Raw genomic sequence first — 14,018 nt, 5'->3', positions numbered from 1 at the left:
CAGTGGTGTCAGTTGTAACATCTCCTGTTTTGTTTCTTAATGAGATTATTTGGATTTTCTCTCTTTTCTTGGTTAATCTTGCTAATGATCTATCAATTTTATTTATCTTTTCAAAGAACCAGCTTTTTGTTTCATTTGTCTTTTGTATTTTTTTTGTTTGTTTCAATTTCATTTAGTTCTTCTCTGATCTTTATTTCTTTTTTTCTGCTGGGTTTGGGTTTGGTTACTTCTTGTTCCTCTAGTTCCTTAAGTGTGACATTAGAATTTCAGGTTGTGCTTCTTTAGTCTTTTTGATGTAGGCGTTTATGGCTATGAACTTTCCTCTTAGCACCACCTTTGCTGTATATCCCAGAGGTTTTGATAGGTTGTGTCATTACTGTTGTTCATTTCAAAGAATTTTTTAATTTCAATCTTGATTTTATTTTTAACTCAATGATCATTCAGGGCAGGTTATTTAATTTCCATGTATTTGCATGGTTTGGAATGTTCCTTTTGGAGTTGGATTCCAGCTTTATTCCACTGCGGTCTGAGAGAGTGCTTGATATAATTTCAATTTTCTTAAATTTATTGAGGCTCGTTTTGTGGACTATCATATGGTCTATCTTGGAGAAAGTTTCATGCACTGTTGAACAGAATGTGTATTCTGTGGTTGTTGGATGAAATGTTCTGTATATATCTGTTAAATCCATTTGTTCCAAGGTATAGTTTAAATCCCTTGTATCTTTGTTGACTTTGTCTTGATGACCCGTCTAGTGTTGTCAGTGGAGTATTGAAGCCCCCCATTATTTTGTTGCTCTCCATCTCATTTCTTAGGTCTATTAGGAATTGTTTTATAAATTTGGGAGCTCCAGTGTTAGGTGGATATATGTTTAGGATTGTGATATTCTCCTGATGGACAAGGTCTTTTACCATTATATAATGTTCCTCTTTGTCTCTTTTATTTTTACGTTTTGAGATGGAGTCTCGCTCTGTCGCCCAGGCTGGAGTGCAGTGGCACAATCTTGGCTCACTGCAACCCCCACCCCCCGGGTTTAAGTGATTCTTCTGCCTCAGCCTCCTGAGTAGCTGGGATTACAGGCATGCACCATCATGTCCGGCTATTTTTTGTATTTTCAGTAGAGACGGGGTTTCGCCATGTTGGCCAGGCTAGTCTTGAACTCCTGACCTCAGGTAATCTGCCCGCCTTGGCCTCCCAAAATGTTAGGATTACAGGCGTAAGCCACTGTGCCCGGCTCCTCTTTGTCTTTTAACTGCTGTTGCTTTAAAGTTTGTTTTGTCTGATATAAGAATAGCTACCCCTGCTCACTTTTGGTATCTATTTGTGTGAAATGCTTTTCTCTGTCACTTTACTTTAAGCTTATGTGAGTCCTTATGTAGTAGGTGAGTCTCCTGAAGACAGCAGATGGTTGGTGAGTTTTATCTGTTCTGCAGTTCTGTATCTTTTAAGTGGAGCATTTAGGTCATTTGTGTTCAATGTTAGTATTGAGATGTGAGGTACCATTGCATTCAACATGCTATTAGTTTCCTGTGTACCTTGGTTTTTTTTGTTTGTTTTTTTTTTTTTTTTTTTTTTTTTGCTTTTTAACTTGTATTTTTGTTTTATAGGTCCTATATGATTTGTGCTTTAAAGAGGTTCTGTTTTGATGTGTTTCCAGGATTTGTTTCAAGATTTAGAGCTCCTTTAACAGTTCTTATAGTAGCTGGTGGCTTGTTAGTGATGAATTCTCTCAGCATTTGTCTGAAAAAGACTGTATCTTTCCTTCATATATGATGCTTAGTTTTGCTGTATACAAAATTCTTGGCTGATAATTGTTTTGTTTGAGGAGGCTAAAGATAGGGCCCCAATCCTTCTAGCTTGTAGGATTTCTGCTGAGAAATCTGCTGTTAATCTGATAGGTTTTCCTTTATAGGTTACCTGGTGCTTTGTCTCACAGCTCTTAAGATTCATTCCTTCATCTTAACTTTAGATAACCTGATGACAATGTGCCTAGGTGATGACCTTTTTATGATGATTTTCCCAGGTGTTCATCGTTCTTCTTGTATTTGTGAGAGGTGAAGCCGGCTGGGCTTCTGGGTCAGGTGGGGACTTGGAGAACTTTTATGTCTAGCTAAAGGATTGTAAATGCAGCAATCAGTGCTCTGTGTCTAGCTAAAGGTTTGTAAATGCACCAATCAGTGCTCTGTGTCTAGCTAATCAGGTAGGGGACTTGGAGAACTTTTCTGTCTAAAGGATTGTAAACGCACCAATCAGCGCTCTGTGTCTAGCTAATCGGGTGGGGACTTGGAGAACTTTTCTGTCTAGCTAAAGGATTGTAAATGCACCAATCAGTGCTCTGTGTCTAGCCAAAGGTTTGTAAACACACCAATCAGCACTCTGTTAAAAATGCACCAATCAGCGCTGTGTCTAGCTAAAGGTTTGTAAACGCACCAATCAGCACTCTATAAAATGGGCCAATCAGCACTCTGTAAAACGGACCCATCAGCTCTCTGTAAAATGGACCAATCAGCAGGATGTGGGTTGGGCCAAATAATGGAATAAAAGCAGGCCATCCAAGACAGCACCGGCAACCCGCTAGGGTCCCCTTCCATGCTGTGGAAGCTTTGTTCTTTTGCTCTTCACAATAAATCTTGCTGCTGCTCACTCTTTGGGTTCGCACTACCTTCATGAGCTGTAACACTCAATGCGAAGGTCTGCGGCTTCACTCCTGAAGTCAGTGAGACCATGAACCCACCGAGAGGGATGAACAACTCCAGACGCACCACCTTTAAGAGCTGTAACGCTCACTGTGAAGGTCTGCGGCTTTACTCCTGAAGTCAGCAAGACCACGAACCCACCAGGAAGAACGAACAACTCTGGACACGCCACCTTTAAGAGCTGTAACACTCACTGCAAAGGTCTGTGGCTTCACTCCTGAAGACAGCAAGACCGTGAACCCACCAGAAGGAATAAACTCTGGGCACATCTGAACATCTGAAGGAACAAACTCCGGACACACCATCTTTAAGAACTGTAACACCGCCAGGATCCGCGGCTTCATTCTTGAAGTCAGCGAGACCAAGAACCCACGGGAACCATTCCAGACACATTTGGATGTCTAGGTCTCTAGGAAGGCTGGGGAAGTTTTCCTCTATTATTCCCCCAAATATGTTTTCCAAACTTTTAGATTTCTCTTCTTCCTCAGAAACACTGATTATTCTTAGGTTTGGTTGTTTAACATAATTTCAGACTTCTTGGAATCTTTGTTCATATTTTCTTATTTTTTTTTTTGTCTTTGTTGGATTGGGTTAATTCAAAGACCTTGTCTTTGAGCTCTGAATTTCTTTCTTCTACTTGTTCAATTCTATTGCTGAGACTTTCCAGAGCATTTTGCATTTCTATAAGTGTGTCCAATGTTCCTTGAAGTTTTGATTGTGTTTTCTTTATGCTATTTCCTCAAATATTTCTCCCTTTGCTTCTTGTATCGTTTCTTGGATTTCCTTGCATTGAGATTCACCTTTCTCTACTGCCTCCCTGATTAGCTTAATAACTAACTTTCTGGATTCTTTTTCAGATAAATCAGGGATTTCTTCTTGGTTTGGATCCATTGCTGGTGAGCTAGTGTGATTTTCTGGCGGGTGTTAAAGAGCCTTGTTTTGTCATATTACCAGAGTTGGTTTTCTGGTTCCTTCTCATTTGGATAGACTCTGTCAGAGGGAAGGTCTTGAGCTGAAGGCTGTTGTTCAGATTCTTTTGTCCCACGGGGTGTTCCCTTGATGTAGTCCTCTTTTCATATGGATGTGGCTTCCTATGAGCTGAGCTGCAGTGATTGTTATCTCTCTTCTGGGTCTAGCCACCAAATCTGCCAGGCTCTGGGCTGGTATTGAGGGTTGTCTGCACAGAGTCCTGTGATATGAACTGTCTATGGCTCTCTCAGCCGTGGATACTAGCACCTGTTCCAGTGGAGGTGGCAGGGGGTTGAAATGGACTCTGTGAGGGTTCTTAGCTTTGGTGGCTTAATGGTCTATTTTTGTGCCAGTTGGCCTCCTGCCAACCACTTGGAGGAGGTTGGCACTTTCCAGAGAGCATCAGCTGTGGTGGTATAGAGAGGAACTGGTGGTGGGTGGGGCCCTAGAACTCCCAAGAGTATATGCCCTTTGTCTTCAGCTAGCAGGGTTGGTCGGGAAGGTCCATCAGGTAGGGGCAGGGCTAGGTGTGTCTGAGCTCACACTCTCCTTGGGTGGGTCTTGCTGCGGCTGCTGTGGGGAATGGGGGTGAGGTTCCTAGGTCAATGGAGTTATGTACCTAGGAGGATTATGGCTGCCTCTGCTGAGTCACGCATGTTATCAGGAAAGTGGGGGAAAGCCGGCAGTCACAGGCCTCACCCAGCTCCCACGCAATCCAAAGGGTCGATCTCACTCCCACTGTGCCCCTCCAACAGCCCTGAGTCTGTTTCCAGGCAGAGGGAGAGCAGGGCTTGAGAACCTGCTTCAGGCTACCTGTCTCCCAGCTGCAAAAATAAAGGGCTTTGGTTCTTCCCCCATCTACAGAGTCTGCACACCAGATTTGCACCCTCCCCCGAGTTCTGGCCAGGAGGCTTCTCACCAGGTTCAAATTGTTACAAAGTTCACCTGGAGACTTCCTTCTCCCTGTGGTGTTTACCCCTGCACCTCTGTCCACCCTCCCAAAGAATCCTTGTGGTGCTAGGCAGGAATGGCCTGCTTGGGGACCCAGCGAGCTCCCAGGACCTTTCTCGCTGCTTCCTCTACCCCTGTATTTCACTTGGCTCTCTAAATTGACTCAGCTCCAGGTATGGTCAGAAAATTCTCCCGCAAACTAGACCTTCAGTTTCCCCAGTGGGGGTGTGTGTTCAGGAGTGGAGGATCTCCCTTTCCCACTTCTGCAGTTTGGGCACAGTGTTTGGGGTGTCTCCTGGGTCTTGCAGGAGCAGTCCACTTCCTTCAGAGGGTCTGTGGGTCCTCTCGGGACTCCTGGTTTGTTATTGAAGTTGTTCTGGAGCTTAAGTTCACGATGTGAGCCTCCACACAATGCTCTGTCCATCTGAGTCAGAGCTGCAATCTACTCCTGCCTCCCATCTGCCATGATGATCATAGTCAGAAGGTGCTACACATTTTTAAATGACCACATCTCACAGGAACTTAGTCACTATGGGGAGGACAGTCCCAAGAGCATGGTACTAAACCATTTGTGAGAAATATTCCCCCATGGTCCAACCATCTCCTACCAGGCCTCACCTCCAACACAAGAAATTACAATTCAACATGTGATATGGGTAGGGACACAGATCCAAACCATTCCATACATGCTTCTTATCTCACCCTTGGGAACTCGCCTGCTGCCATGTGAACAAAGCCTGGGCTACCCTCCTGGCTAATGAGAGACACTGGCACTGTTACCTCCTCAGCTCTAGATGGCAGTAGACAATTCCCAGAACTCTTCAGCTGAGTGCAGCCCAAATTGCCAACCTACAAAAACATAAATAAATTGTGCTGTTTTAAGCTACTAAGCTTTGGGATAGTTTGTTAAGCAGCAGAAGCTAATTGATACTTGACTACACACTATGCTGCCTCTAGATTATACTTACTTTGTACAACAAATTTCATAGATGATTTTGCATGTTGTCTCATTTAATTTTCACAATTACTACACGAGATGGGATCTAAAAAAATAGAGATTGTGGGAATTTAATTAACTTGTCCAACATCAATTGCTAATGAGTGGAAGAAGCAGAGTTAAAATGTATAAAATAGGCTGGGCATGGTAGCTCATGCTTGTAATCCCAGCACTCTGGAAGGCTGAGGCAGGTGGATCACTTGAGGTCAGGAGTTTGTTTGAGACCAGCCTGGCCAACATGGTGAAACCCCATCTCTACTGAATATAGAAAAATTAGCCAGGCATGGCGGCACATGCCTGTAGTCCCAGCTACTTGGGAGGTTGAAGCACAAGAATCGCTTGAACCCAGGAGGTGGAGGTTTCAGTGAGTTGAGATTGCGCCACTGCACTCCAGCCTGGACAACAGAGCGAGACTCCGTCTCAGAAACAAAAAAAAAGGGCTAAAATTTATAAAATTTCCTAAAAATCGTAGGTCAAATGAGACTTCAATCAGTGCTGCTAAGGAACAGCGGCTACTTCTGATTCCGATTCCAGATATGATGGTGAATGAGCAGAGCTGCTGGCTGTCTCTTCTAACTGAACTGTAGAGATGCCACGGAAATGAGAGAAAAGCTCTGGCATTTGAAGTACTAACGCAAAATTCGTGAGAAACCTTTGAGGAGATGCAAAGTGATTATGACCTGGTATGAAAAGGAAAACTCAGTTTGGGCAGAAGGCCAGGCTCCAGTGGGATGGAGGGGCAAGGGGACTTTGAGATATGTGTTTTTTTTTGTATATTGTCCTGGGTAGATCATTGATATCTCTATTGTAAGTAGAAAATAAATGTAGTAGTTCCAGTCCAAAGCCTCAAGTCAGTGGGACAAAAGCAGCGTGGTTGGCTGGAGTGAGGAACAGTTAACAATGGGGCAGTCAGATAATTGAGTCTTTGTGTGTTCCCTGCTCTCTCCCATCTCCCCACACTTCTAGGATTGGAGAGTTGAAATGGGGTGAGAAAGGATCTTTCAGTGGGTATCTTTGAGGGTAAAGGTTTATGTAGCTTCTGCAATAATCTGGTATGAAGGTCAGAATTACCTGGTGAAGTTGTAAAATATGAAATGACACTCATCCTCCCCAACTCCCCAGAAATGGCACAAGCAAGAGTCTGGGCCTTAGCTCCTCATTCTGGGTACACATTACCAGGGGAAAATGAACTCAGAGGCAACAAAATATTGAAATAGTGGAGGAGTCCAATCTGTTTGACGGAAAAACCACCACCCAAATGACCTACCTGGAGGAACCAGAATTGGTGTAAGACATGAACCATGATTTAAAAATAAGCTTAATAAATATCCTCAAAGAAACAGGAGATTATATTGGTTAATATGAAGCAAGGACAAAAAAACAACTAAGACGATCCAAGTAGATATCTCAGGTATAAAAAGTATAATACTTGAAATATGGATTCAACCGATATGGCACTGAGAAGAGTGAATATAGACAATAATTACTGAGCTAGAATATCAGGTCAAGAAACTGCCTTAGGTGCCTAAAGAATTAAGGCCCTAGCCTGAACTTGCAACAAGTACTGGAGTTTGGAGGAACAAATTCTGTCTCTCCTCTCTTGTATTTGTTTTTTGTTTTTGTTTTTTGTTTTTTTCAGATGGAGTCTCACTCTGTTGCCCAGGCTGGAGTGCAGTGGCACAATCTCAGCTCACTGCAACCTCAGTCTCCCAGGTTCAAGCAATCCTCCCACTTCAGCCTCCCAAGTAGCTAGGATTACAGGTGTGCACCACCACGCCAGGCTAATTTTGTTTTGGTATTTTTAGTAGAAACGGGGTTTCACCATGTTGACCAGGCTGGTCTTGAACTCCTGACCTCAAATGATCCACCCCCCTTGGTCTCCCAAAGTGCTGGGTTTACAAGCATGAGCCACTGCACTCGTCCTCATTTGTATTTCTTTTCTCTCTTAGATATAAAGTACCATATATGCACAGTTCTGCACCTTGCTTTTTCATTAAACAAAAATGTCCAGAGATTATTCCATAGTAAAATAAAAGATCTTCCTCATTTTATATTTTGTATGTGTGTGTTTTTGTTTTCTTCTTCCTCATTTTCTTTTATAGTTGTACATTACTTCATTGTGTGGATGCATTATAGTTTACCCAAATATCCCTCAGCAATGATATTTGCATTTTTTTTTTTTTTTTTTTTGAGATGCTGTCTCCTCTGTTGCCCAGGCTGGAGTGCAGTGGCGCGACCTCAGCTCACTGCAACCTCTGCCTCCCGGTTTCAAGCAATTCTCCTGCCTCAGCCTCCTGAGTAGCTGGGACTACAGGTGCGTGCCACCATGACCAGCTATTTTTTTTTATTTTTAGTAGAGGCGGGGTTTCACCATGTTGGCCAGGCTGGTCTCGAACTCCTAACCTCGTGATCTGCCTGCCTTGCCTCCCAAAGTGCCAGGATTATAGGCGTGAGCCAGTAAGCCACTGTGCCTGACTGATATTTGAATTCTTTTCAGTCTTACTGCAATGGATATCCCTGGTTTTTTTTGTTTTTGAGACAGGGTCTGGCTCTGTCATCCAGGCTGGAGGGCAGTGGTGCGATATTGGCTCAGTGCAACCTCCACCTCTGGGGCTCAAGCCATCCTCCCACCTCAGCCTCCCCAGCAGCTGGAACTACAGGGGCACACCATCACACTTGGCTAATTTTTGTATTTTTTTATAGAGGTGGGGTTTTGCCATGTTGGCCAGGCTCGTCTCAAATTCCTGAGCTCAAGCTATTTGCCCACCTCGGCCTCCCAGAGTGCTGGTATTCCAGGCATGAGCCATTGTGCCAAGCCCACTACTACTTTTTAACATAGTGAAGAAGGTCCTAGCCAGTGTTAAACAAGAAAAGGGTCTAAGAGATACTAGGACTGAAATGAAAAAGATAAAACCACATCTGTTCAACATCTAAATATATTACTTTTTGTTTTTAAATTTCTAAAATTTTTATAGAGATGAGATCTCGCTTTGTTGCCCAGGCCAGTCTCATACTCCTAGATTCAAACAATCCTCCTACCTTGGTCTCCCGATGTGTTGGGATTTCAGACATGAGCCACCATGCCTGGCCTAAATATATAACAAATAAAAATATTTGGCAAAATTGCTGGAGACAGGATCAACTTATAAAATCAACATTGTTTCTCTCTAGGCTAGTAATAGCAAACTTGAAAATAATATAGAAAATAAGATTTTGTTGACAATAGCAGTAACAAGTCTGTAAGAGAAAGGATCATTAAAACATGGCAGGCTGGGTATGGTGGCTCATGCCTGTAATCCCATCACTTTGGGAGGCTGAGGTGGGCATATCACCTGAGGTTAGGAGTTCAAGACCAGCCTGGCCGACATGGTGAAACCCCGTCTCTACAAAAATACAAAAATTAGATAGGCATAATGGTGGGTGCCTGTAATGGCGGGTGCCTGTAATCCCAGCTACTCATGAGGCTGAGGCAGGAGAATCACTTGAACCCGGGACGCGGAGTTTGCAGTGAGCCGAGATTGTGCCATTGCACTCCAGCCTGGGCAACAGAGTGAGACTGCATCTTAAAAAACAAAAAACATAGTGGATAAAGACTGAAATCGTTAGAAGCTTTGAAGTAGATATTCATGCAGGAATTCATATGTCTTAAACATGGTAATGAAGTGACAAAAGTAAGAAGCATATTGAAATTATATTAGAAGTATATACAAACTCATCACAATTTTCATGAGTTCATGAAATATGCTTATTTCAGGACATTATATAATATGCATCAGAGTTAGTGATGTAGGAGTAAAGGATAAAGGCAAAAATTAAAGAGATAAAGCAGGAGGGATGTTTTGCATGGACTGATGATGATAATGTGTTAAGAATTAGGATCATGCTTAATTTAATCCTTCACCTAAGGTAGAACAACACACAACAAAACCTCATAAACAGAAATCCCTACAAATCCACAGGGACTAGGCTCATCTTACACTGGGCAAGCGAAAGCTACATAAGTGAATCATTAGAAATCTCATGGCATGCTAAGAAGGTGAATGATAGATTTTCTAAGCATGTAAGCACTCTGTTGAAATAAATTCAGCACTCTGTTAAATCAAAGCCTCTATGCCTTAAGTGAAATGGCAGATGTGGTACCTATGACATTTTGCTCCCTCCTGGGACCTGATCATAAGACACTCACTGGATTTTCTCACATGGGATTTGGTTAGCAAAATGCAGTTTTCCATTATTGTGTGGTGACTGTCACTTCACAGGCTTTAAAATGGGAAGCAACTGTCAATGACCTTGAGTCACATTCATGGTTAGAATATTTTTGCCTGCTGGAATATTCAGTATAAGCCACCATCTCCTGTTGATGGAATTCACATCAGAGCCCCTCTGGGTGATGTGCACAGTCCTAAAGAGGGTTGAGTTTCAAGTGGCTTAATCTATTTCACTCAAACACTGAGCCCCAGGCACTGTAGTCAAAACAAAGGTATCCAAGGGAACTGTGTTCTTTTGACTCAGTAGATATTATTTTTAGAAGGAGTATATTAAATGGTCATCCTGTCCAGTTCTCCATCTGATGTTTGGCACCACTTAGCAAGATTCCATTAATTCGTCATTTGATGATGACTGAACATCCTTGTCTGGAAAGCTCATCATTCCAGCAACAGGGATTGCATGACCCTTTTTATACATTAATGTGTTCATTAATTTCGCAAATATTTGTTGAACTCCAACTATGTGTCAAGCACTGGGCGTGCAAGGTTGAACAAGACAGATACGTTTCTTATTTTGTGAGTCTAACTTTCTGGTGAGAGACAAGTACATTGACACATATAGAAGAACATGCTACTGAATAATATTTAATGAAAATAAAAGATGGTGATGTCATAGGGAATGTTGGGGCAGGAAGTGGGATGGCTGCTTTAGGTGGGGATGGATGGAAAGCACCCTTTCAACTGAGACCTGAATAGCAAGGAGGAAGCAGCCCTAGGAAGCATTCAAGACTGAAGCAACGGCTGGTAAAAACTCAATGGCCAGGATAAGAAATTTGGTGGGTGTTCCACGGCATACTACGCAGCCATAAGAAGGAATGAGATCATGTCCTTTGCAGGGACATGGATGGAACTGGAGGCCATCATCCTTAGCAAGCTAACACAGGAACAGAAAATCAAACACCACATGTTCTCACTTATAAGCAAGAGCTAAATGATGAGAACACATGGACACATAGAGGGAAACTTGGTGCCTACCAGAGGGGGGGCGGGGGGTGCGGGGGGAGGAGGGAGAGGATCAGGAAAAATAACTAATGGGCACTAGGTTTAATATCTGGCTGATTAAATAATCTGTACAACAAACACCCATGACACACATTTACCTATGTAACAAACCTGCACATCCTGCACATGTACCACTGAACTTAAAAATTTCGGTATAAAAATTTAAAAATAAAAAGATTAAGTGTAAAGAAAAGAAAAAAGAAATTTGATGTGTACTGGAGGAAGAGAAAGACCTTGGCTTGAGGGACATATACCTGTTTATCATTTAGTTTTTCTGTTTTGTGAACCACCTATTCATATTATTTACCTTTGAAAAAATGGAATGTCCTTGCTTTTTCTTGTATGTTTTCAAGTGACCCTTGCATACCCTAAAATTAATTCCTTATTGGTTTTATATGTCACAAACACATTCTAATTTGTCACTAGACCACTTGCTGGTATGGCATGATTTGTTGAACAGACATTCTTGATTTTGATGTAGTCAAATCTCATCAACTTATCTCCTTATGTATTTGCCTTCTGGGTCTTGTTTAAAAAATCCTTCACTGAGTTTATATTTTTGATTTTTTTAATTTATTTAAATTTTTTGCTTGTTTGCTTTACAGATTTACCCTTTACATATAGTTACTTAATCCATCTAGAATTCACCTTCATTTATGGTGTGAAGTGTGGACTCATGTTAATTTTTTTTCATGTCAGGAGCCACGTTCCACCGGGCATGGTGGCTCATGCCTGTAATCCCAGCATTTTGGGAGTCTGAGGAGGGCGGATCATTTGAGGTCAGGAGTTTGAGACCAGCTTGGCCAACATGGTAAAAGCTTTTCTCTACTAAAAATACAAAAATTAGCCGGGCATGGTGGCAGTTATCTGTAATCTCAGCTACTTGGAAGGCTGAGGCAGGAGAATTGTTTGAACCCGGGAGGCGGAGGTTGCAGTGAGTCGAGATTGTGCCACTGCACTCCAGCCTGGACGACAGAGTGAGACTCCGTCTCAAAAAAAGAAGAAAAAAAAAAAGTGCCACGCTTTGCAACATCATCTTTCCCTCTAGTTAGATGATGCCATTTCTATTATAAACCAACTAAGATCTGGGCATTAGGGACACTCATCGCTATTGACGTGTTTGTTTGTTTTAGAAATCATGAGTTCATACTGAGACCTCCTGTGCCAATTCAACAACACCACAGAGATCTTCCTTTCTTTTCTCCATTCCATAATTCTGCCTCCTTTCTTCCACAGTGAGAACGCTGGCTTCTTCAAACATAATCATATTTACACACTTAATTCTTCAATAAATATAAAATAGATTCAGAATTGGTACATCCATACCACTATGAAAAACAAACCCATTAAAAAAGAACTCAGCAAATAACTTAAAACAGAACTACCATTCAAGCCGCAATGCCATTACTGGGTATACACGTAAAGAGATCTAAATTGTCTTATCATAAAGACACATGCACGCGTATGTTCATTGCAACACTGTTCACAATGGCAAAGACATGGAATCACCTAAATGCCCATCAACGGTAGACTGTATAAAGAAAATGCGGTACCTATAAACTACGGAGTACTATTGATAGGGAAGGGGGGCAGAGAAGTGCTGGGTACAGGAGGTCGTGGTCCCTGGCTAGCGCTTCACCCCCAGGCCTGTGCCCACAGACTTAGGTGAGAACAGGCATTTCTGTTTTCCTGCCCAAACGCTGCATTTCCCAAGACCACCCTGGCCTGCCATGCCCCCATCCTGTACCCATAAAAACCCAACGCCCTAGCGGGCAGAGACACAAGCGGCTGGACGTCCAGAGGACTCAAGGGGAACACGCCAGTGGAAGAGCACACCGACAGACGCCGGCAGGTCAGCAGGCCATCGACCGGCAGAACATGGAGTTTGGACAGGGTCGGAGGAGGAGAGCCTGCGCTGCTGAATGGCCAGATTCCAGGGGAAAACCATCTCCCTTCTGGCTCCCCCAACTGCTGAGAGCTACTTCCACTCAACAAAACCTTGTACTCAGTCTCCAAGCCCACGTGTGATCCGATTCTTCCAGTACACCAAGGCAAGAACCCAGGGATACAGAAAGCCCTCTGTCCTTGCGATAAGGCAGGGGTCTAATTGAGCTGAGTACACAAGCCGCCTATGGACGGCTAAACTGAAAGAGCACCCTGTAACACACGCCCACTGGGGCTTCACCCCTAGACACTGCCTTGGGGTCGGAGCCCCACAGCCTGCCCGTCTGCATGCCCCCCATAGAGGTTTGAGCAGCGGGACACTGAAGAAGCGAGTCACATCCCCATCGCACACCCTGCGAGGGGGACAAGGGAACTTTTCCCATTTCACTATGAAGCCATAAAAGCAGTGAGATCATGTTCTTTGCAGCAACGTAGGTGAAGCTAGAGGCCATTATCCTAAGCGAGCTAGTGCAGAAACAAAACCAAATGCCACATGTTCTCATAAGTGGGAGCAAAACGTTTTGTACACATGGACACACACAAAAAGGAATAATAGAAACTGGGGCCTACTTAAGAGTGGAGGGTGGGAGGAGGGTGAGGATGGAAAAACTACCCATTGGGTGTTATGCTTATTACCTGGGTGATGAATTATCTGTACGACAAACCCCGTGACGTGCAATTTACCTATATAACAAACCTGCACATGTATCCCAAACCTAAAATAAAAGTTTAAACAAAGGTATACAAAACTCTGGAGAAGCAGTAGCAAATAAAAAACACACAAACAGAAAAGAGCTCAGGATTTGTCTGTTATCCCTTCACTCCCCACCTTTACTATGAGGGTTATGGTCAAAGTGTTGTGTCCAAAAGTTCCTCGTCAGCCTCCCTGCCCTTTACTGAGGTTATGTTATTAATGTGAAATACACTCAGGTTTTCTGTCTGTTCTCAGTTTTAAGTCCTTACTCCTCCTTTTTAAATTTTTTTTTTTTTTGGACAGAGTCTTGCTCTGTTGCCCAGGCTGGAGTGCAATGGCACGATTTTGGCTCACACTGTAGCCTCTGCCTCCCAGGTTCAAGCAGTTCTCCTGCCTAGCCTCCTGAGTAGCTGGGACTACAGGTGCACACCACCACCCCAGGCTAATTTTTGTATTTTTTAATAGAGACAGAGTATCGCCACGTTGGCCAGGCTGGTGT

General features: G+C 43.1%; 1 annotated feature.

Annotated features, from left to right (window-relative positions):
* Positions 12,702-13,245: an enhancer, noted in NCBI's record as "H3K27ac-H3K4me1 hESC enhancer chr11:107620738-107621281 (GRCh37/hg19 assembly coordinates)". NCBI's record gives its function as "activates a minimal SCP1, AML or CMV promoter by ChIP-STARR-seq in naive H9 embryonic stem cells {active_cell/tissue: H9 hESC(naive)}" and the evidence as "EXISTENCE:reporter gene assay evidence [ECO:0000049][PMID:30033119]".

This window comes from Homo sapiens, chromosome 11 (genome assembly GCF_000001405.40).
Source record: "Homo sapiens chromosome 11, GRCh38.p14 Primary Assembly".
NCBI classification, from domain to species: domain Eukaryota; kingdom Metazoa; phylum Chordata; class Mammalia; order Primates; family Hominidae; genus Homo; species Homo sapiens.
This window is presented reverse-complemented; position numbering and strand designations above follow the sequence as displayed.